Raw genomic sequence first — 23,293 nt, 5'->3', positions numbered from 1 at the left:
TTTAAGAACCTGCTCATTGGCTCTCTCAGTTACTAGGAACTAGCTTCCCTTCAGATATTTTTGTGTGTGCCTTCCTATTCCTGAGCAGACTTTAGGCCTTATCTGCTCTTCTGTTAACTCAGGTAAAGTGCTCACCTAAAATAATCGTATTTTTTTTTGTGCTGTATTTTACAGTGCTATATGGGTGTGTCAGTCAGCATTCAACCAGAGAAGCAAAGAAGACATATAGAGTGAGAGATTTGTTGCAAAATACTGGCTTATGTGATGGTGGCAAGTTCAAAAATCCACAGGGCAGGCCATCAGGGAAGGCAGGCTGGAACTCAGCCATGAGCAGAAGTTGCTATCCACAGGTAGAATTTCTTCTGTTTCAGATAATCTTCAGTTCTGCTTTTAAAGCCTTTCAACTGATCAAATCAAACTCACCAGGTTATCTAGGACTATCTCCCTTACTTAAAAATCAACTTATTATGGACTTTAATCACATCTACAAAGGCCCTTCACAGCAACACCTAGATTAGTGTTTGATTGAACAACTAGAGATTGCAGCTTAGTCAAGTTGACATATCAAAAAGACCAATACATTGTGTATGTGCCAGGTGCTATTCTAAGGACTTCATGTATTTAAGCCTCTCAACAACCCTATGAGGAAACTGAGGCACAAGATAGTGAAGTAAATTGCTCAAGATTGTGTAACAAATAAATATTGAATGAACATCCCAGCCCAGTGGGTCTGGTTCCAGAGATTATGTTTCAACCATGATTTTACTGATTTTCTTTGGATTCAAGCTTCTCAAGTGCATTTCAAAATACTTTCTAGAATGTTCGTGTTGTTTTTGTCAGTGTAAAATTGCTTTTTTAAATCAAAATTTCTCTTACTCCAGTAGACATTCTGACTGCTTTGTTTGCAGTGTTGTTTTTATTTAAGGTCATGATGTTTCTGAGAGATAGGATTGTAATTACTCTCATAACTAATGACAAATATATAGATATGTACATAATTTCTGTATTTGGTATTAACTTACTTTGTTTAATCTTCATCGAAAACAATTGCATTTATAGTCTGTTTTATATATCTATTTTATAATGAATTCTATTTATTAATTTGAGGATCTGCCTTAGCTGAGAGACCTAGTGGCAGATTTAGAAATGTTATCTCATGTATTCCAAAAGGAAATGTTCTACGACCCAGCTAAAGTCTCTGTTTGCTGTTTGGGAATAGAAGTGGGCAATGGAAACAAGAACAGTAAGAACAGTTTGGAAGGCAAAAAAGAAAAAAAAAAGGCAACCAGGGCCCAAGTTCACAAAATAGTCTGGAAATTATGTGAGAACTTAATTATTTTATATACAATATTTTGATGAATAATCACCAAGGAGAAGAAAAAGCTATCATTTGTGTCAGGACTTTGTGGTGGTTTAACGAACATGTTGACGACCACACTTGGCATGTTTCTACAAGCTGTCAAGGTTGGGAGGAGATGAGTACTCGCCCATCCTGCTGACCTTCACAAGCCCATAAGGAAAAGACCTGAACAGGCAAGTGTGAGCACTCTTGAATATGTTTGCCAACCAGAGGGAACTGCTCTTACGAGCCTGCCAAGGTGACTTCTGCTAAAAATGCCAGCAATATCCCAGCTGTCCTGACCTAGGGGTGCAGCCACAACGAAGGAGGCTTGAGAGATGTCACCTCCCCCTACCCCACCCCAACCTGTCACTTTGAAGACGTGTCGCCTTCCCCCTCCTTCATTGAAATCTCACAGGGAAACATTTTATTCTCCAGATTACTGCTTTAGGAGATAGAAGGATAAAATAAAACTGCCATGGGGAAGGTACAGGTTTATTACTTATAAAATTTCTTCCAGCAAATTGCCTCTTTCTTTCCTGCTTGCCTCCTTTTTCTTTCTTTTAAAATTGTTAAATATTTTCAATACATAAAAACAAAGTAACAGATATCTATGTACCTACCACTGAGATTAAGCAGATGTTAACATGGTTTGAATTATTTGCTTTAGATCTTTCTTAAAAGACATAAAACATTATAGAATTAGCTACAGCCTTACTCCCTATTTTTCTAATCTCTTGTTCCCTAGACAAACTACTATTTTGAAGTTGCTGTGTATCATTCCTATCCATTTTTCTGTGCTCAGACTCTTATCTTTTATTCAGTCAATCTATCATCTATTTATCTAGCCACATGATTCTAAGTGTTGATCATTATATGCGTTTGGCATCTTATTGTATATCTCTTTTGGCAATTGACTTTTCTTATTCAATTTTGTGTTCTTGAAATTTTTACATGATAACACTCGTAGATCTAGTTCATTCATTTCCTTTTTAAAATCTGTTTTGGTTTTTGTTTGCTATCACACACAACACTGCAATAAGCATTATTGTATGACTTTCTATGAACATGTGTTACAGTTTGAACAGAAAGAACACCCACCAGTAGGATAGTACAGTTATGTGGTGTGTGTATTGTGAACTTACATGATGTAACCAGATTGATTTCCAAAAGAATGGTGCTGATTTCATCTATCTCTTTCAATGTAGGCTGGACTACCACCTATCACATGACTGCAAGGTGATACCTTTCCATGGTACAGTACCACAGTTTGTTTAACCATTCACCCACGGCAGGACAATTGTGTTGTTTCCAGTTTGGAGTTATTTTGAATAAAGCCACTTCAAACATTTGCATAAAGGTTTTTTGTGGAACATAAGTTTTCATTTATCTGGGAGAAACGCCCAGGCATGCAACTGCTTGGTCACATGGTAGTTACATATGTAGTTTTGTAAGAAACTTTCATATTCTTTTTAGAGTGACTATACCATTTGACATTTCTATTAGCCATGCATGAGAGATTCTCTGCATCCTCACCAGCATTTACTATTTTCACTATTTTTCTTAATTTTCGTCATGTTGATATCTCATGGTTATATTTCATTGTGGTTTTAGATTGCATTTTTCTAATGGCTAATGATGTTGAATATCTTCTCATGTGCTTGGTTGCAGATTATACATCCTCTCAGGTGAAATAATCTATTCATGCCTTTTAAATGTTTTCTAATTACATTTTTTGTTCATTACTATTTAGATTTGAGAGTTCTTTATATATTCTAGATATGCAGTCATTTGTAGTATATGTGGTTTCCAAATATTTCCACCCATTCTTTTACTACATCCTCTTCAAAAGGTCTTTCACTATCCAAAAGTTATTTAGTTTTTTTTTTTAATTCGATGATCTCTAATTTAATGAAATTTTCTCTTATGAATCACACTTTCGGTGTCAAGTCTGAAAACTGATTGCTTAGCTCTAGGTCTCAAAGATTTTCTTCTGTTTTTCTCTAAAAGTTTTACACACTTTGAGAAGCCAAGGTGGGAAGATCGCTTGAGCTCAGAATTTCCAGACCAGCCTGGGCAACATAGCAAAATTCCACCTCTACAAAAAAACACAAAAAAAAAAAAAATAGTTGGGCATGGTGGCAGGCACCTGTAGTCCCAGCTACTCAGGAGGCCGAGCCAAGAGGACTGCTTGAGCCCGGGAGGTGGAGGTCACAGTAAGCCGAGATCGCGCCACTGCACTGCAACCTGGGGGACAGAGCCAGACCCTGTCTTAAAAACAAATTACAGTTTTACGTTTTTAATTTAAGCCTATGATCCATTTTGAATTAATTTTTTATAAGGTATGAGTTTAATTTGAGGTATTTTTTTTTCTTTCTTCTGAACTCCACCTGCTTTAGCACTATTGGTTGAAAAAGTAGTCTTTCCTCCATTGAATTTCTTATGAACCTGTGTGAAAAATATCAGGTGTATTTCTTGTGGGTCTATTTCTGGGTTCTCTTATGTTAGCATCCAACACCAAGAGCTCTCTCTTTCTCTCTGTCTCTCTCACCATACTTGTGAATTGAATAAATTACTGCCACAGGCTTTACACTGTCACTTTATTTACATGTCTATGCTGTTATTAGAGAGACTGGGCTTCCTAATTACCCCAAATACTGTTGGCAGGTCCCTATGTATTATGGAGTACCCAAAGTAAATCTCATATCGTAGCATCCTATATTGCTTGTGTGGCATCCATTTTATCAGCTCAGATGATTAAGTTCAAGATGAGAAATGGTGTGTTGCTGGAGATTCACTCACAAACTTTAGTCCTTCCATTTCCACTGACACCAAATGCAACACACTCTCCTGGAATATCATCAGGTTTCCTTTCCCAGTGGAATGTCTCAGCAACACAGCTATAGTCATGCTTTTCAAAGCCAACCATTGAATTCAGGTTCTATGCTCCTGCCAACTAAATGCCTCCTTGATTTTCCTTTATTGTTTCCAAATACATTGTGTAGATAAATGAGTGGTGGACAGGATTTAAAAGTTTGTATAAGGATTTAATGAAGATAAAAACCCAAATGTTTGGGTATTCATACATTGCTTATCCACTGTCTTTGGAAGCCAGTGGGAAAACATCCAAAAGGAGTCTTCTATTCTTTCCAACATTTGCTGCTCTAAGTTGGGTGGAAATAGCATTTGGTCCTGTTTGAATACTTATATGTTTTCAATTTTGGTCATAGCCAGAAACTGCCTCACTAAGCAATTCTGGGAAACACATAGGTACATCAAATTATACTTGGATTTCCAAGAAGTTGGTGTGATGGGTTATAAATATGAGTATGCTCCATTTTGTTCAAAAGGGTCTGTATGACCAAAGTGATGAGAGTGGGAATTAAAGCAGTGGCTCAAAAGTTGTGAGGCTTAGCTTTGCAAAGATTTGCTTTGTAAATCTGTGTGGATACTTTGGTTCCCTGGTTCTTTCATTGGCAAAATTTACAAATTCTAGCTAACAGGTTTCTCAAGAAAAAAAAGTTTAGTGCTTTAGAAATACACAAGAACATCACACACTGGGGCCTGCCATGGGGTGGGGGGCTAGGGGAGGGATAGCATTAGGAGGAATACCTAATGTAGATGATGGGTTGATGGGTGCAGCAAACCACCATGGCACGTGTATACCTATGTAACAAACCTGCATGTTCTGCACGTGTAGCCCAGAACTTAAAGTATAATAGAAAAGGAAAGAAATACACAAGAAAATTATAAAATTGTTGATAGTTCATGACTTTCTCTGAGACCATACATGGTATGCAGAAGAATCCCAAAGGATTCACATTGTTAATACATGGCATCTAGAAGAGGGCCATTATCTCTGTAAGTCAATATCTCTAAGGACCTACACTGGCCAGTCTAAAGGAAAATTAGGTCCATAATGTCAGAAAATAAGACTCTATTACTTGTGTAAACTTCTCAATTGGAGATTCTTATTTCTTACCCTCCTAGATTCTGCTGACCATCAAACAACCATCAGGAAAGTCTTCCTCGAGCCCCATCTTACACCACTCAATTGATCATACACCTGTAGGGAGGTTCCTAGTTTTTATGGCATCAAAATGGCACTTCAAATCCAACACCAGCAGCATTCCTTCTTCCTTAAAGCCTAATGACATGTTTTTATATATAATGGTTAATGTGGTGTTCAGTATGTTCCCATAAATTTCAGCCTTCTGTGATTTTCAGAACATTTTCCCAAATGTCAACTGGGTGTTATTTATTGGCTAATCCCTCCATAATGAATATGCTGCTATCTGATAATCACAGAAATTCATGTCAAGCCAAACTTTGGACATAGATACCTCTGAATAAGTAAATAGATGCTTTACATAGCCTACAAAGGGAAATAAAATAGCTATAATGTAATAGCTACCATTTATTGAGTCCTTACTCTACAACTGACACTGAACTAAACATTTATAACTTTATATTATTCTTACAACAACCCTAAAAGGCAACAACTATTATTCCTGTTTTAACGGTAAGTAAAATAAGATTTAGAGTGGTTAAGAGTCTTATCCAAAGTTACAGAACCTGTAAGGAATAGGGTGAGATAAAAGGATTGGGGCTCAAGTTGAGGGTCCTGTTTCCAGAAACATTTTCCATAGGGTTGTGCTATCACCAATCCCTCTCACTACGTAAAGCCAGGGGTTTGGAGATAGTGGTGTAACTTCTGAATACCCTCATGCCCTGACCACCCCACCTCCTGCTTGTCTTTCTATAAACTTGCTGCGTTCTAAACACTGACATCCCAGACTGACAACTAGGGCTTTGTGAATCTAGACACGCCCACTACAAACACAAGCCACTAACCTGAGGACCTCTGAGTGTCCCCAGTCCTACAGAGGAAACAGGAGAGTGTTGAGATTATTTGAAGATTCCAGAAAGCCACCTTTACTTTCAGCTATCTGTATAAATTCTTTGGTTACTTCTTTCAAGAGTCCAGTTGTATATTTTTTCATATAATTTTTTCATATATATATACATATATATGTATATTTTTTCAAATAATTGCACCAGTAATTCAATGCCTAAGCAGAAAATGGTAATATGAAAAAACATTTGGATAAATTTCTAAGTACAGTAATCACCGGAATAATTTAAAACAAGTCAGTCGTGGCTATTTTTTATAAAGTATAAACTTCTGAGAATATGTTACTTTAAATACATTATTCAAAAAAATTTAATTTCTACAATAAAAATGTGTGTTGATTCTACAATATAAATTTGTATTAATTTTTTGAACTTAAGAATACAGAATAATTTATAAAGTATGTAAGTGTTTTTGCATTTGTTACAGGGATGGCTTATGTTGGAATCTGCTTATAATTTTCAACATCTTATAGGCTATGCCATGTTGCTGTTTCAAAATCCAAACAATGAATTCATTTTTTTATCTGAAAAGAAGTCTGATACTTGTGCTTAAGACAATAGGTATGAATAAATATATAATATTTATCAGCTAATTACTAATAACTATATTATTAAGATCTGCTAGATTCTGGGTATAGCCAGTTTTTCATTATTAACTTACATAAAGCACACAAATGAAGCAAGAAATTTTATTTTATTTACTCATTTTATTCACAGGCATGACTTGGGCTTTTGATAAAACAATCTCTCTCCTCTTTAGACCAAACAACTCTTTCTCCTTCTTTAAACTAAAATTTTGAAGTTAGCTAGTGATTGAAACTTCACCCAGCAAAAAATGATTGTTGAATATCATTTGTAATTTTGATAGTACAAATATGGGTTTTGTGCTTATAAATTAATTGCTTGTCAGTGAGAGGACTTTCTCTTTACACTGTTTTGTAGGAACCCACTTAACTAGTTTTCATGTTGTTCCTAATTTTAACTAGGACATGCAGAATCACTTAGTGTGAGCTAAGCTGTATTTAGTTAAAATGCTAAGAATTATCTGGGTGCAAAATTAAGATTTTTGTGTAGTCAGTATTGGTCATGAATTTCATACACTCTATAGCCTTTTATGGAATTTGTATTGTAGTCTTTCTTCATGCTTGCTTTACCCAGAAATATACTCATTATAAATGTTGGCCTGTGCAAAGCAGAAAAATGATGACACACAAAAACGGTTTCTTACAAGGACCTTGCTTCAGTTTTATGTTTTTGTTATTTACACACAGCATGTGTATGAGCTGTTCTCTTCCACAAGTCCAAAGAGAACTCAGAGGGTGCAAGGTAGGGAACTTATCTCGTCACTGCCTCTCTTCACCTATTTTTCCTTCAATGTTCTGTGGCCCATGGTAGTCCTTGTAGTCTATGTAGGACCATGGTAGCATAGCCCTTTATCCCTGTATGTAATCAGGGACTAAATGCCAGCTTTCATAGCAATTCACAGACTGTGGCACATAATAGGCCAAATTATCCAGCTTTACATTTTTAACAAGTTCCAATAATATCGGAAAATAATTTAAAGTGGAATTATTGTATCTTTCTCCTTTCCTTCTCATTTCTGCTCATGTGCACTCTTACTAATTTTGCTTTTGAAGAAAAATGTTAATTTTACATATATATGTTCATTAAACTGTTATGTATAACTTGAAAAGAAAAATGATTCTTACATATCAGTATGTCAAGGATGCTCCAAAGAGAGCTCTGGTTAAAATGTTTAAGGAAATATTTAAACATACTGAAAAAACCATAAGGACATACTCATATTGAAATGGGAATATTGCAGCAATTTACTCTTATTTCACTCTAGCAAATATGGGAAAAATTCAACTTATTCTCAGGTAATAAAGTCTGGTGTACCAAAATGTTGAAAAAAATGAAATCGATAAAGAAGTCACAAATGTGTAAAGCAAACATGAGAAATAGTTGCTCAAACAACTCAATTATATAGAAGAGAATGTCAGAAACCAGGGGTTTATTATCTATACCTCACAGCATTTGAAATGACTAGATTCAAAATACATTTATGAAACAATAATATTCAGTTTCTAAAAGATTTTAAGAACACACAAAGGGAATACTGACTTCCTTGTTATGCTCTGTAAAATACAAAACTCAAAACCAAAGGCAGTGAATCAACTTCACAAAATTAAGCAACAATGCGCTTTTCTGAAAAACTTAATTTTTCCTAAAGAATTATTTTAAATTATTTCATTAATGTTTCAAATTCTATTTGATTTGATTCCTCAGAAAATACCTATTTTCAAAAAAACCCACCAGTTTAATGGTAAGATGAACAAATGACTAGCCTGGTATTTTTTTTTTTTTTTGGTTATTTTTTTGAATTTTATTTTTGTGGACAAATACTAACTGTATATATTTATGAGGTACAATGTGATGTTTTGATATATGTTTACAATCAGGCTAGTTAACAAATCCATCACTTCACATACTTGTCATTTTTGTGTGTGTTGAAACATTCAAAATGTATGCCTTTAACAACTCTATGATTATTATAGTCTCAATTCTATGTGATAGATCTCTAAAGCTTATTCCTCCTGTCTAACTGAAACTTTGTACCCTCTGATCAACAACTCCCTTTTTTCCAACCACTCCCTTTCCCCAGCTTCTAGTAACATCATTCTACTCTCTACTTCTACAATTTCAACGTTTTTAGATTCCTCATACGTGTGAGATGATGCAGTATTTGCCTTTCTGTGCCTGGCTTATTTCACTTAGCATAATGTCCTCCAGGTTTATCCATGTTGTTAAAAATGAGAGGATTTTCCGTGGTTTTTTTTTTTTTTTTTGAGACAGAGTCTCGCTCTGTCCCCCAGCCTGGAGTGCAGTGGCCCGATCTCTGCTCACTGCAAGCTCCACCTTCCCAGGTTCACGCCATTCTCCTCCCTCAGCCTCCCTAGTAGCTGGGACTCCAGGCGCCCACCACCACGCCCGCCTAATTTTTTGTATTTTTAGTAGAGACAGGGTTTCACCGTGTTAGCCAGGGTGGTCTTGATCTCCTGACCTCATGATCCGCCTCCTCGGCCTCCCAAGGTGCTGGGATCACAGGGATTTTCCCTTTTTTTAAGGCTGAATAGTATTTCATTGTGCATATATACCACATTTTCCTGATCCATTCATTCCTTGATGGACACAGAGTGCTTCCATATCTTACCCATTATGAATAATGCTTCAATGAACATGAGAGTGCAGGTATCTTTGGAATACGGATTTCAATTCCTTTGACTATATACTGCCAGTGGGATTGAAGGATCATATGGTAGATACATTTTTAGTTTTCTGAGGAGTCTCCATACCGTTTTCCATAACGGCTGTATTAATTGACATTTCCACCAACATTGCATAAGGGTTCCCTTGTCGGCACTCCCTCGCCAACATTTATCTTTTGTCTTTTTGATGATAGCCATTCTAACAGGTGTGGGGTGATATCTCATTGTGGTATTAATTTGCATTTTCTTGATGATAGTGATGATGAACATTTTTTAATATATCTGGCAGCCACGTATGTCTTCTTTTGATAAGTGTCTATTGAGGTCCTTTGCCCAATTTTTATTGGATTATTTGTTTTCTTGCTATTGCATTGAGTTCCTTATATGTTTTGGGTATTAGCCACTTATATGGTTTGCAAATATTTTCTCCCACTCCACGAACTATCTCTTAGCTCTATTGTTTCCTTTGCTGTGCAGAAGCTGTTTAGTTTGATGCAATCTGATTTGTTTATTTTTCTTTGTTGACTATGGTTTTGTGATCCTATCTAAGAAATCTTTGCTCAGATGAATGTAGTAAAGTATATCCTCTTTGTTTTCTTTTAGTAGTTTCACAGTTCATGTCTTACATTTAAGTGTTTAATTTGTTTTGTGTTGATATTTGCATATGGTGTTAGATAAGACTCCAATTTCATTTTTCTGCTTGTGGATATCTAGTTTTCCAATACCACTTATCAGACAAACTGTCCTTTTTTATTGTATGTTTTTGGCATCTTTGTTGAGAATCAATCGACCATAAATGCACAGGTTTGTTTCTAGGTTCTCTATCCTGTTCCATGATTAATGTGTCTATTTTTATGTCCATATCTGCATGGTATATTTTACACACTGCAAGCTGCACCCCATATGTTATGTACCTATCAGGATGGAGGAAGAATGTGCTTTGATGTCAGTAATGACCAAGACAGGGTGCCACCAAAAAGACAGTTATCAGTTTGCAGGCTCAACTGCAGTGTGTCCTCCACAGTATCAAAAGATCCAAAATTTGTGTCACAGACAAAAGTAGAACATATTCTAAAACTTCAGGAAAAGTACCAAAACAAGAAAAAAAATGAATTTTCCATGAGATAACTCTATTTGTACATGACTGAATGGGTACAGTATTCTTTTGTGTACACAGAGTAAGCTTCAGTTTCCTCTATTCTGGAAATAAATAGCACACTAATTGCAGATAACCAAAAAACAGAACCAAGTAATTCAAATTGGCACAAACAAGAAAGACAGTATCAAACTATGGTAGATTAAACACTCCAGAGTGGTGTTCTTCCTTCTCTGTCAAAGTATACATATATATTATCTATAATATCTACAGATAATATAGACATAAATAAATATGAGTCCCATGATATTTGACTGTTGCTTTCCTTGTAATGAATGTCAGATACCTATAATTTATGACACACAGCAATTGTTTCACCAGTTGCGTTTTCTTTCAAACTGAAGTGAAACTTCTGAAGAGGAAAGGTTGATACGCTCATGGTGAGTTTCTATCTCCGGTTAAGCATTGCAATAATAATTCATGGATAAACAACAGCTGCAAAAAACATTAAGATATTATGAGTATATGAGTGTGGGAGTGTGTGTGTTTTAGTAATTGGGAATTGTTGGCCACATTAAAAGCCCATGTTATTACAAACAAGAATTTCACTACAACGCACCGTAATGCAAAGGTATGAAGAAAACCTGTCCAAGAAAAGAGAATCAGACGTGCCCACTTGTTAAATCAGAAAGAAATTCTCTAAGAGAATTCCAAGGAAATTTCCTTGGAAAGATAATTCCCCAGGAAAATGTTGTATTTTCTGGAAGAACCAAGAGAACTAAAAAAATTATTGTAAATGGAAGTATTTATGCCAAGAGAATCTTGTTACTTAGAACACAAGCCTGCCATCAAAACTCTATTTTTGTTTAAGTAACAGTTAAGAGTGCAATCCACAATGGGGTGCCAGCAGCCAGAGTTGTCTGAGGGGATGGCCATGGGCTTCAGAGCATGGGCCAAGAGAGAACAAAAACACAATGTACAAAGAAAAGGTGTTATCAAGAACCAAGAAGATGGTCCAAATGAACATCAGACTAAAAAGGTAGGCACAAAGGCAGATTCCATCCCAAGACAGTAGGGTGCAAACTAAAGAAACTAGAGAAATACTATCAGGTTCAGAACGTGTTTGCTGATCTGGTGGCTTTTATAGGCTGCTTTTAACTTCAAGCCTGGGTGGGGAAGAAGTTATTAAGGCCACTCTGGTTCATCCAACATGATGAACACATCATCTGATCTTATTTTAGTTTTACGTATGTGGAAAAACAGAATAAAATAAATAGAAGCTGTGCATGTGTGTGTATGTGTAGCATGTGCACAAATACACATATGCATATTTGCAACCATAGCTAAAATCATAGCCCGAGGGCACCTAAGTGCAAACCCCTTCAGGCCAGAGTCTGCAGTGTGTGTTGTTGTTTTTAATCTTTATATTTCTAGCCTCTAACACATTTTATATATTACAGTATATATTTAACAAATGAATGAGGAAGAACTTTTGTCTCTTTCATTAAAATGTGTTTTGCAGTTCTATTTATCAGGGATAAAGAGTTGTACTTAAATACCTGGATGTCAAAATACTAAAAATTGATTGCGATATTATCAAAAGTCATCACCATCTTTTTAACCTTAAATCTACTTTTATAAATTAAAAAATTCTATACAAGTTATCCTGTGGAATGGGGGAGTGCTGAAGAGAGATATGAGAGAGCCATCTGGGGAGTCAGAAATATTCTACTTCTTGATCTGAGAGGTCGTTACATGGGTATATACATAAGTACAGTTCATCAAGTCAAACACCAGATCTGCGCATTTGATTGCATGTAAGTCATACTTCCAACAATAACATTGTGTAAACCAAATAGAACGTATCTTTTGGGCAAACCTAGAAAAAAAATCTGCTTTTATCAAAAGAATTCACTGCAGGAATAATTTGGCTTCGCTGAAAGAGTATTGCAGAGGTAGATTCCCGAATAAGTATCTGGGGATGGAAAGCAGAAAAAGGCTTTTGGAACTAAAAGCTTAATTGCATTCTGCATAAGCATGAACATAATGAACACATCATATAATAGTCACTTTGCAAAAGAGCTATCAGTATGCTTTCTGGAATCTTCACTGATGTAACATGAGCTCACCCCATGCTCACTCTCTCACCTTCTTGAGATTTACCCAGGTCTTCTGTTCACTCCATGGCAGGGAATAATTTCAGAGGTTATTTTGCTGCAGTTGAGCACAAAAGGACTGAGCTTGGCTGTTACGGAGACTGGCCCTCTGCACCTATTTGTTAGCTTCAGTACCCATTTCCTGTTTATTTTTTGTTAGCTTGCTTCCCAAAGCATTTGGTATTTTCAGAGTGATCTAGAACCAAGGTTTTGAGGACTAGCTCCATGTCTGTGTGAGAGTATACAGCACCGTCCCTAAGACTGAGCAGTCCTGGGGCAAAAGCCCTGTTGAGCATCTTTCACTGCCACAGGTAGGAATGGGGAATGATTTGTTTAGCATTCAAATGAGTCACATAATACCAGCAGCACAGAAACTTATCATTTCTTAGTTCACTTGCATAGCATTAAGAAAAAAAATTAAATAAACAAATACGGATTATTTTTATAATGAATGCAATCTTCTTAGACTAATAGCCAGAGAAGAGCTATGATTGTTGTATGTCTAAAAATCCCAAATGGCAAAATGTAATTAAACTTAGAACTGTTGAACAAATAAACCTGTTAAAATACATAATATTACCAGGCAAAATAGCTATGTGTTTATCATTTTGCCACTGTAATTACATTCACTACAACTCTTCATGCATATATTAATATCTAACATTATAGAGGCTAAAATATAAATTGCAGAGCACTGAGCGTAGTTCCAGCCAAAAAGTTGGAAATGCATGGTAAAAATGCTTGTCATTAAAAAACAAAAATAAAAAGGCCTTGGATTTAATGTTGCTACTAATTGCTTTACGGAGAAGTAAAAGATTCTTATAACTACATGTGTACTGGTTTCAAATGAAGAATCATTATGTACCTCTACATGGGTATCTGGTTTGAAAAATTATGAAATTATTTATTGTGGGTCTCTTGGAGCATAAGGCACAGAACTTGTTCAATTTGACCTGAAAAAAGAAATACCCGGAAATGTGCCTAAGTTGCTATTCCTACGTTAATAATAGACAAATATTTTTAAGTAATCTCAACTAATTTCCAAGATTATGAATAGACTGTAACTGGATAGATGTCGGTTAGAGTGGGTGTGTTAGTTATTAAAAGTCAGGAGAGGTCAGGAAATTAATTCCCATGGGGTGAAACTCTGTATCCAAAAATAAGCAAGAAGAGGCGTTTGTCCAAAAGCTTGACAAAAATCAGTGCCAAAGATTGTATGGGGGTAAAAAAAGATTACATGTAATGAATAGTAAAAGAAGAAAGAGGTAGAAAAAGAGGAAGGGAAGGAAAAGGAGAAAGAAAACCAAATAATTTGTGAGTACAGAACATACAATGAATCTTCATTGCTGAATTAATAAAATACTGTCTTTAGCACCAATAAATTACAGAAACAGGGGTTGGAAAAATTTAATAGAAATCACAAGCCTTTAAAAATAACACTGGCAATAATTAAAAACCTTTCCCTTAAAAGCTTCCTATTGTTAATTGGTTTACTTTCATTTAGATATAAATTAATTTCCATAAATTAATTTTTACCATCAGAATAGCTAAAAAATATGGAAAGCCTAGAAATTGACAGAGCAGAGTCAATATATTGAGCAAAGTAATGTGATGGTCCATAATCTCTATCATGATTAATATCTAATCCTAATCATCATTATTTTTGGAGGGCCATTTTTCATCATGATGGCTGCATTTTATTTTGAAATTATTTAAGGGAATTAAATATTTTGTTAAGTGAAAATTAATGTGTCTTTATTCATGACTGAGTGAGCCATTACAAGTGTTTTTCAAATTCAGTTCTTTTAAAATAAATGCCATGAATGGTCATTTAAGTTAGTCACCACACCTATTTGTCCCATGACATAATGACTACAACTGCCCTAATGAGTCCAATTGAATGGCTATTGTGCTTGTGGTTTGGGAGTGTGAAGTTCTATTTCCTCACATTTGGATTTTAATCAAATCACTAATTCAAGCCAGGCCACTGAAACACCTACCAATTTTAAGAAATTCAAATTACTCTCATTTTATGATGGATTAAAACTTCAATCACCTTGAAGGACATCACCGAACCAGTTAATTTATATATTTGAGGATAGAGAGTACAAATGGATCATCTCAAAATGAAAAATATTATATGGCAATTGGTCCCCACAACCCACAGGCATGCACACATGCAAGACACAGATTTGATCTCTCCTTAAACAAGTCATTGTTTAAGCCTTGGATAAAGACTAAGATTTTTCATATCACTGGTGAGGGCCCTGACCATCATTCTAGCCTCATTCCCGGCCCTGTCTCTCCAATACATTGTGCTGCTGCAATGCCAGCTGATTTAGGTTCCCAAATACTTAATGCTGTGTTATCCACGAGCGTTTGTATGCACCATTTTCTTTTAATGGGAACAATTTCTTCTTCAACTTGTTATCTCCTGCATCCTTTCCTTCAAACCTCATTTGAAATATCAACTCATCCAGGAAGACTTGTCTGATGCTAACAGCTCATTTAGATGCCCTTGTCAGGGTGTTCACAGGGTAATCACTGGTTTGGTGGGTCTCTATGATGGGGTTATAAGCTATTGAAGAATAGAGAGCTGTGTTATTAATCTTCAATTCCCAGGACTTGCCATATACCTGATGTATAGCTGGATGTCACTAATTCAAGCAAGTTGAAAAAAGGGATGAGCCAGCAGAAATAAAAAGAAGGAGAGGAAAGACAGACAAAATGAAAAGCAATGACTGTTCTATAACTGCCGTATACCACTCTATGTCAAAAACTACTCTATACTTGTACTAATCTGCCTTTTAAAATGTTTTTAAACACTCTTACATATATTGCCCACACAGTACACTGGACATCTCCTTGAGCTTGATATGAGGAACCTGCAGTTTAAAGAGATTTTAAAGATTTACCTAAATGCAAACGGGGAGTTAAATACAGGATTGGAACTAGGCCTTATCACACCTCATTACAGCTTCCTTCTGACATGTTGCAGTGTTACAGTGTGCTGTGTGCTTCAGAGCAGACGTGCACCAGGAAGGGGAAGGGGTAGCAGGAAAGTGTGTCCCCAGGACATGTCTTCGGCCACAATACTTTCATCTAATAAATACAGAGGGAAAATATCTCTTCTTACTTTGAGTACATTTAACCTCAGAACAAAACTAGATGACCTGGCAAAATGAGTTGGGAGATCAATTTTCAGGAAAACAGGCAGAGATGTACAAGCCTTGGTGGTGGTAACCAGGATTCCATGTAGCATTTTCAAATAGAGCAGTACTGAGTGAGAGCTATCCTGAACTTGTGGAATTCCCTGTGGAATGCACAAGATGCAAAAATAGGCAATCAGAATAGGTTTAACTTTATCAGCAAAGAATGAGTTCAGGCATGGAACAAAAATCCGGGCCAGATCACTTGGCTGCTGTCACAGAGAGACCATGTAAACTCAGGTCATTGCTGAAAAGATGTGGTTTGAAGTCCTTCCAAGGTGCTGGCAGATTCTGAAGAGCCATATCCACAGAGATACCGATAGAGAGGACTGTGAGATCACCCAGTGCAGAGTGCAAGTATTTTCGATTATTCTTTGAGGATAAGGCCCAAACTCCCAGCTCCCTTTCACAGAGTACCTGAGCTCAGCAGCCCAGTGGACATGTGTTTCTCTCTGCAAGAAATACTTGGGAATAGGAATTCTCTTCTCCTTTAGGAACAGTGGATTTCTTCCCTTATATACTTGAAACAAAAAAACAAACAAACAAACAAACAAAAACCCTCTGCTTCCCACCCATTTTGGAGGAAAGACTCCAGTAGGATACTGGGTCACCTAACACAGAGGAAGCTATCCCAACCGGAAGAGCATTGTGCAATATGCACAAAGTCCTTCAATAGACATTGGATGTCAGCACAAGCCTTAATTGAAACCAAGTCCATGTTCACTCCCTAATGACCACAAGAAGGAAGGAACTCAGAGGGTTCCTCTGCTCACTAACTGCCTATGTGATATTGGCCACCTTGTTTCATTCCCCTGTGCCTCTAAAATCTCACCCTTCAACCCAGCATGACATCCTATAGCAATACAGTGCTGAGACTACAATGCTGTGAATAATTTTGAGGTATTTACCTACAGATCATTCAGAGAAGGAATGGAGGGAAGAAGTGAATACAGGCAGACGTGAAAAACAACCAGAAGCTCTCAAGGGGCCACAGATACGTCCTGGGAGGTTTCTTCTTATCAGAAAAAAAAAAAGAAAGTAGAATTTTTCTGCTATTGCTGTGTATGAGTGCATAAACATTTTGTTACCTGACCATAAACCTACCTTGAAATGTGATCAGTGTCAATTCCACCCAAGGATAGTGTCTCAATGGGCTGTTATATCCAATATTAACATGAATTTAGTATCTTTAGGGACACAGAATTATCGTTCATCAGAATATTAATTAGAAATGTTTGAACCATGTCATGGTTTACTCTTTTATTTTCTAATTGGAATTCATTCCAATAAATCCAAATTGTTTTATCCCTCCACATGGCCACAATACTCGAACAAGTCGGAACAATCCCCCACTTACTTGCTTGTTACCAAGGACCTAATGTTAAATATTGCAAGTGCAGAGTGCCCAGACACAATGCTGTTAGCTATTTAAAGGCTATGTGCTAGATACATCTTGCAAATAAGTGAATAAATAATATATTAATGCCTGGGCCCCTTTTTCACCGGATTTATAAGCACAAAAGTGATATGGAGAACTGACAGTAACTTTAATATATGTAAATATCTCAATTGGATAATCCAGGCACAAAAATACATTGTAGCTTGGTGCTTATTAAGTTTATGTTTTATGCATTTCCATTACAGGAGTTAATATGTTTCTTGGTTTCTATGTTCTCAGATCTCCTAAGATACCCGGTCTTTAAAGTATTATACAAAATATCAGGTATGCATTAATCTATAAAGTTAAAACGTTGTGTTTGTTTATACCAACCACCCCAAAGCAGAGTTCCTTCTCATAATGAGGTGTTTCCTAACAGTGTGATAGAATATTTTTAAATTGGCTTTGACAAGCACATTCTGAGGCTGATTTCTCACAAATGCATGCTGTCTATATCCACACACACTGTGGACCCCACCATGAGCTCTGGGTGGAATGCTCAAAATTTCCTCTCATTTGATCCCAATGACCAATGACCTAAGCTGTGGAAAATGTTCCTTAAGCTTGCTGAGGAGAGTTATTTTTGATTTCTTTGGTTGGCGTGCTCTATTTTCTCACTTAATGGAAAGGGATGAGAAATGAAGCATCTTTGTTTAGCTCTACAATGGACAATTTTCCAGCTACTTTAATGCATTCTGTTTAGAAAGAGAGTCCTGGAAATCATTTCTTCCTGAATTTATAACTTGCTCTGTGTTTTCAGAGTTTTTTATTCAATGCAGATTTAAAATTAAAATGCGTGAGCTCACTTCTTATTTTCCTAAGACAAATATAACGACTTCCATCTTGGTCACTGAATCCTTTATGCAGGCAATCAACCAGAGGTCAGGTTTATGATCATGTGGCAAGTATTTGACTAATGAAAAACATGGACACTTTCTAATCACTTAGGTTTGAAGAGCTTGTGCAATTGTCCCAAGACCTATCAGCTCTAATTTACCTGATTCTGTCTTTCTGCCTCTCTTCTTTGGTAAAGGATGATCTATTTTAGTTATTGCATCACATCTGGAAATTATAGAGGTAATAGTATTAGCATGACTCCTCTCTAAAGGGTTCCAGGTTGAGACGATGTCACTGCATACATTTGGGAGAGAAGGTACTAGGTAGTGGTGTTTTTGTGTAAAAACCTTACATTCTAAAGAATGGTTTATAATTACATTTTGAAAGACATTTCTGTGAATAGTTCATTTATCAATTCTCACCTTACTTCTGGCTCTGCCTCTGATGATCATTCAGTTTCCTCTCCTCTTCCTTTATACTGAGCCTCCCTTCTACACAGACCTGTCCCAGAAATCTTTAAGGAACTCAGATATTTAGATAGAGTCAGTAATATCTAATAGAAGAGTTCTTTTATCCAGAAATGCTATTTCCATTTATTTTATTGAGGCTACTCCTGCAACTGTCTCTGTGGCAAACAATTTCCTAGTCTGTGTGTGAACACGTCCAATAACAGCTGTTGCATGAAATGAAGAGTTGAATAAAGAAGAAGTGCTGAAACAAAGAAGATGGAAAGAATTGAATGGTGAATGTGCCAATAATGAAATGCATAAGCAATTCCACAGGTGAAGAGTGGTGGAGCAGAAATGGCGGTTTTGTTTTTGTGACTGTTTCTAATTTAATTGAATCAAAATAACATACAGGACATATTCCTTGCCTGAAGCTCACAATTTCAATTCGTCAGAGAGATTGGATAGTTACACATAAAAAGATGAAAATAAGGTAGGTAGGGTATAGGACAGAGGGAGGAGATAAAAAAGGCTCAAGTAAAAAGAATCCAAAGGTGAATGGGTCATTGGTGGCAATTGTTAACAGAAGTTTATTTGGAATATTTCACTTGCACCCTGCACCATTCAGAATGATTTTTGCAATTCCTATCGTTGAGCTGGATCAATCTGTTGTTTTTCCCTTTATCCTCATACATTGCTTTCTGCTTTACTTGTAGCTTACTAAGTGTGTATTCTGTGTTGATTCATTATGTTTATGTAGAAGGCTGGGAAGGCCTGTCAGAATTCCATTTAGGTTGCTTGTCATGAGCTCATCAACACCTGGCAGGTTTGTTCTTCTGTTGTGTGATCCAGGCAGATCTTTGATGCAGGGAGACAGGCTCTATGTCAATAACCAGGACCAAAGGTAAACCCAAGGGTGTCATTGTGGTGTGATTTGCAGGTAGCAGGGCAGGGGAAAGGAGAATGCCAATTAAGTACATTACAAGTGTACTGTGTATACATATTCCTAGTGAGGTTCGTAATTCTCAGGGCTTTTAGATTGTGAATAATTGACACCCCTGCAAGGTGGATCACTATCATTGTCCCCATCACTGAGGAGGAAATTGTCTTGCACTCTGGAAAGGCTCATTTATGCTCTGTGTAGCTTTGCTGCCTACCCAGTACTTCCCAGGGGTGCTGTGAGGACCAATTACTAATTACCTGGAAGAGCTCTTATGCTCTGATGAGATCCTTTGGAATGTAGGCATCTGTGAAACGATGATGATACCTTCTCCCTGTTTTCTATCACACTTGGCAAAGGGCCGGGCACTTTTGGTCATCTAATCAACGTTCTCTGAAAAAGGAAAGAGGATTCAGGAGACAGGGCGCTCCACCCAACCATGATTAGAAAAACAAGACCAAATTAGTAGAGAAGCTAATTTCATGTGACCCTTCCATTTAAATGATTTTTTAAAACCTGAGAATGTTAAGGAAAAAAAAAAGACAGAGAGAAATTTGAGAGAGGCCTTACGTCCACCAGGTACGCAAACAAGGATAATAAACATTCGGCAGGATATCCACATGAAAAACTAAAAACACTATATAGCAACATCCAACAAAAACAATACATATGATCAAAAGGAAGCATAATGGCATGGTAAACCAGAGCCTTGGGATGGTTGGAGTTAATCTGGGAACAATTTCAAGGGAAGAGTGTTGGTTAAGGTTCCACCATGAAATGATAATGGACTAAGGTACATCTGCTGTTTTATTATGTATTCCTATTGTGTAGGTAGCATGGTGGTTATGAGCATGTTTTAGAGTCTGTGGGCCTGATGGATGCAGCCATGAACCTCTAGTTGGCATTTTAAATCTCTCTCAATTTTTCTTATTGCTCAGCCAAAGAAATAATAGTATATGTCCAATAAGGATTTGAGACAGATTAAGTGAGACAATACCTGTCAAAAAGTGAGGAGAGTGTCTGCACATAGTAAATTACCAATAAGTCCATTGTCGCCACAGTTGTTGCTTAGGTCCCAGCATGAAGTAAGCGTTCAGTGAAAAATGAATGATTTCACTCATACCTGGGAGGACAATGATAGACAGAGGGAAAAGAAAGTGGTTACTAGGCTCTTCCTCTGATGGTCCCTTGATGACTCAATCCTGTGTATCCAAATTCAACACCCATTCAATCACAAGGCCCCAAGTTGTGCAATAAGTTAACAAGGAGAATCCAATAACACCTTCTGACTCGTGTGTCCATTTCTAAAGGGTATCAGATGGGCTGGGCATGGTGGCTCACGCCTGTAATCCCAGCACTTTGGGAGGCCAAGGCAGGCAGATCACCAGAGATCATGAGTTCGAGACCAGCCTGGCCAACATGGTGAAACCGTGTCTCTACTAAAAATACAAAAAATCAGCTGGGCGTGCTGGTGCACACCTATAGTACCAGGCTGAGGCATGATAATCACTTGAACCTGGGAGGTGAAGGCTGCAGTGAGCCGAGATCACACCACTGCACTCCAGCCTGGGAGACAGAGTGAGACTCCGTCTCAAAAAAAAAAAAAAAAAAAAAAAAAAAAAAGGACCAGATGTATCGTTTTCTGTAACAGAGTTGAAGAGAGAACAGAGAACAGTGGGAATATGAAGTTTAGAGATGTGCTAGTATCCCACGATTAAAAACAAAAATAAAATAAAAGAGCAAACAACTCTCACCAACGTTATGGTGTACTTCTCTTTTTGTAGGAACGTCACCTTCCTTCACTTCCCAACAGACAGCTTTCTTTAAAACACCTTCTGTTCTTCAAGCTTCATTTGTTTTTCCACTGCTACGATTTGGTTTCTACCTCTTCTCTCACAACTGTGCTCACCAAGGCCTCAACGCTGCCTTCATTAATTGATCCCACAGCCACTTTTTAGCCTTTTCAGCCTTGACTTCCTTGCTGTAGTTGACACATTGTTGGCCCTTTTCACAAAGTGAATTTTCCCTCACTAGTTGTCTTGTATGTCATTACTCATTTCTGGTTTTTATTCTGCATTTCTGACTGCCCCTTCCCAGGTTCCTTCCAAGATCTCTTGCTGTCTACTAACATCATTAGTATCCCTGGCTCTGTGTGTCCCTTGATCCCTTAATCCACCCTGCAGAGAAGTCCCTAGACCCTCTAACTTCATGTCCTTCCTCTCTTCCTCTCCACATATGGTCCAAATCTCTCTTAGCTCCACGACTTTCCCTGAGGGCCTCACCTCTGTACTTTCAAATGTATCCTACTTTCTGCCTGGAATACCCACCCACATTCCCATTGGTCTAATTCCTGGTGATCCTTCAGTTCCCAGCTTAGATGTCATTACTTCAGAGACATTCCTGATCTTTAAGCAACCAAGTCCCCTCACATGAGTTTCTTCCCTTATAACATTCTCATTTTATTTTAAGTACTTGTAAATGTCTGCTTTCCCTGACGGGGTAAATTGTGACATCCCCACTTATGACTTTGTATGATTTGTACTACAAAAAGTTTCAGGGCAGAGAGGGTAAAGAGGCATAGAAATCTCAACCGGGCACAGTGGGTCACGCCTGTAATCCCAGCACTTTGGGAGGCCGAGGAGGGTGGATCACGAGGTCAGGAGTTTGAGGCCAGCCTGGCCAACATGGTGAAACCCCATCTCTACTAAAAATACAAAAATGAGGCAGGCGTGGTGGTGTGCACCTGTAATCCCAGCTACTTGGGAGGCTGAGGCAGCAGAACCGCTTGAACCAGGAGGCGGAGGTTGCAGTGAGCCGAGATCACACTACTGCAGACTGGACAACAGAGAGAGACTGCATCTCCAAACAAACAAACAAACAAAAAAAGAGGCACAGAAATCTCATGTGTGCTCTGTGATACTTGGTTTGGGACAACTCTGCCCAGTGACTTCACTGTTATTTAATTTGCACAGAAAGAACATTAAGGCCAGCAGAACTGCTATTCCCTAATAACTTGAAAGTTTAGTGAAGGAGAAAATGTGTCTGTGTTACACATCACTGAATTCTTGCTCCTAGCACAGTGTCTGCAGTCTTTCAACTGACCATTGCTAAATGTATAAATCCTCCCCATTACCATATTCTGGAACCGCACTGTCCCATACGGTAGTCCCCAAGCCACATACGGCTACCGAGCATCTGACATATGGCTTGAGATGTGCTAAGTATAAAATTACACACCAAGTTTAAGATCTGGCAAGAAAACATCTTAATAACTTTGTATTGATTACAAGATGAAATAACATTTTAGATATATTGTGTTAAATAAAACGTAATTAATGTACTAAATAATTTGCATTTGAGGGTCACAGTAGGTTTCTATTGGACAGCACTATTTCTAGACTTTCTTCTGAGACATTGCTCTATATCCAGACATTCATTGAATACCTCCAGCTGATGTCCCACAGACACTGTAAATGCAATGAAATTAAATTTATCATATTTCCCAATAACGCACTTCCTCTTCAGATGTTGCCTCAGATGTTAATGGTTGCAATTCATCTGGTTACCTAAGGCAAAATTTTGGACTATTCCTCCACTCTTATTTTTTTATGAAAAGACTCTTCCAATTTTCCCTTTTCCTTCCTGCCAC

General features: G+C 37.3%; 2 long non-coding RNA genes across 4 annotated transcripts in view; one reads left to right on the top strand and one right to left on the bottom strand.

The window, feature by feature from the left end:
* Positions 1-23,293, top strand: part of LINC03005 (long intergenic non-protein coding RNA 3005) — a 74,415-nt gene that overhangs the window by 33,224 nt on the left and 17,898 nt on the right. Inside the window, exon 2 of one of the 2 annotated variants that reach the window (NR_134614.1) lies at positions 17,662-17,706. The exons of the other annotated variant lie outside the window; for it this stretch is intronic. This is a non-coding gene — a long non-coding RNA (long intergenic non-protein coding RNA 3005). The remainder of the gene's footprint in view (positions 1-17,661; positions 17,707-23,293) is intronic. 2 annotated transcript variants of the gene reach the window in all.
* On the bottom strand, positions 10,636-22,307 carry LOC102724736 (uncharacterized). Of its 2 annotated transcripts, none has more exons than XR_427895.4 (4): positions 21,399-22,307; positions 20,642-20,767; positions 19,905-20,037; positions 10,636-11,113 (listed from the first exon to the last, which is right to left on the bottom strand). It is a non-coding gene; the product is annotated as an uncharacterized LOC102724736 (long non-coding RNA). The 2 variants fall into 2 exon arrangements; XR_926578.2 differs by having other exon boundaries at positions 20,683-20,767.

Source organism: Homo sapiens, chromosome 6, assembly GCF_000001405.40.
Source record: "Homo sapiens chromosome 6, GRCh38.p14 Primary Assembly".
In the NCBI taxonomy this organism is placed as follows: Eukaryota; Metazoa; Chordata; class Mammalia; order Primates; family Hominidae; genus Homo; species Homo sapiens.
The sequence above is the reverse complement of the archived record's forward strand: the minus strand, read 5'-3'. Positions and strand labels throughout refer to the sequence as shown.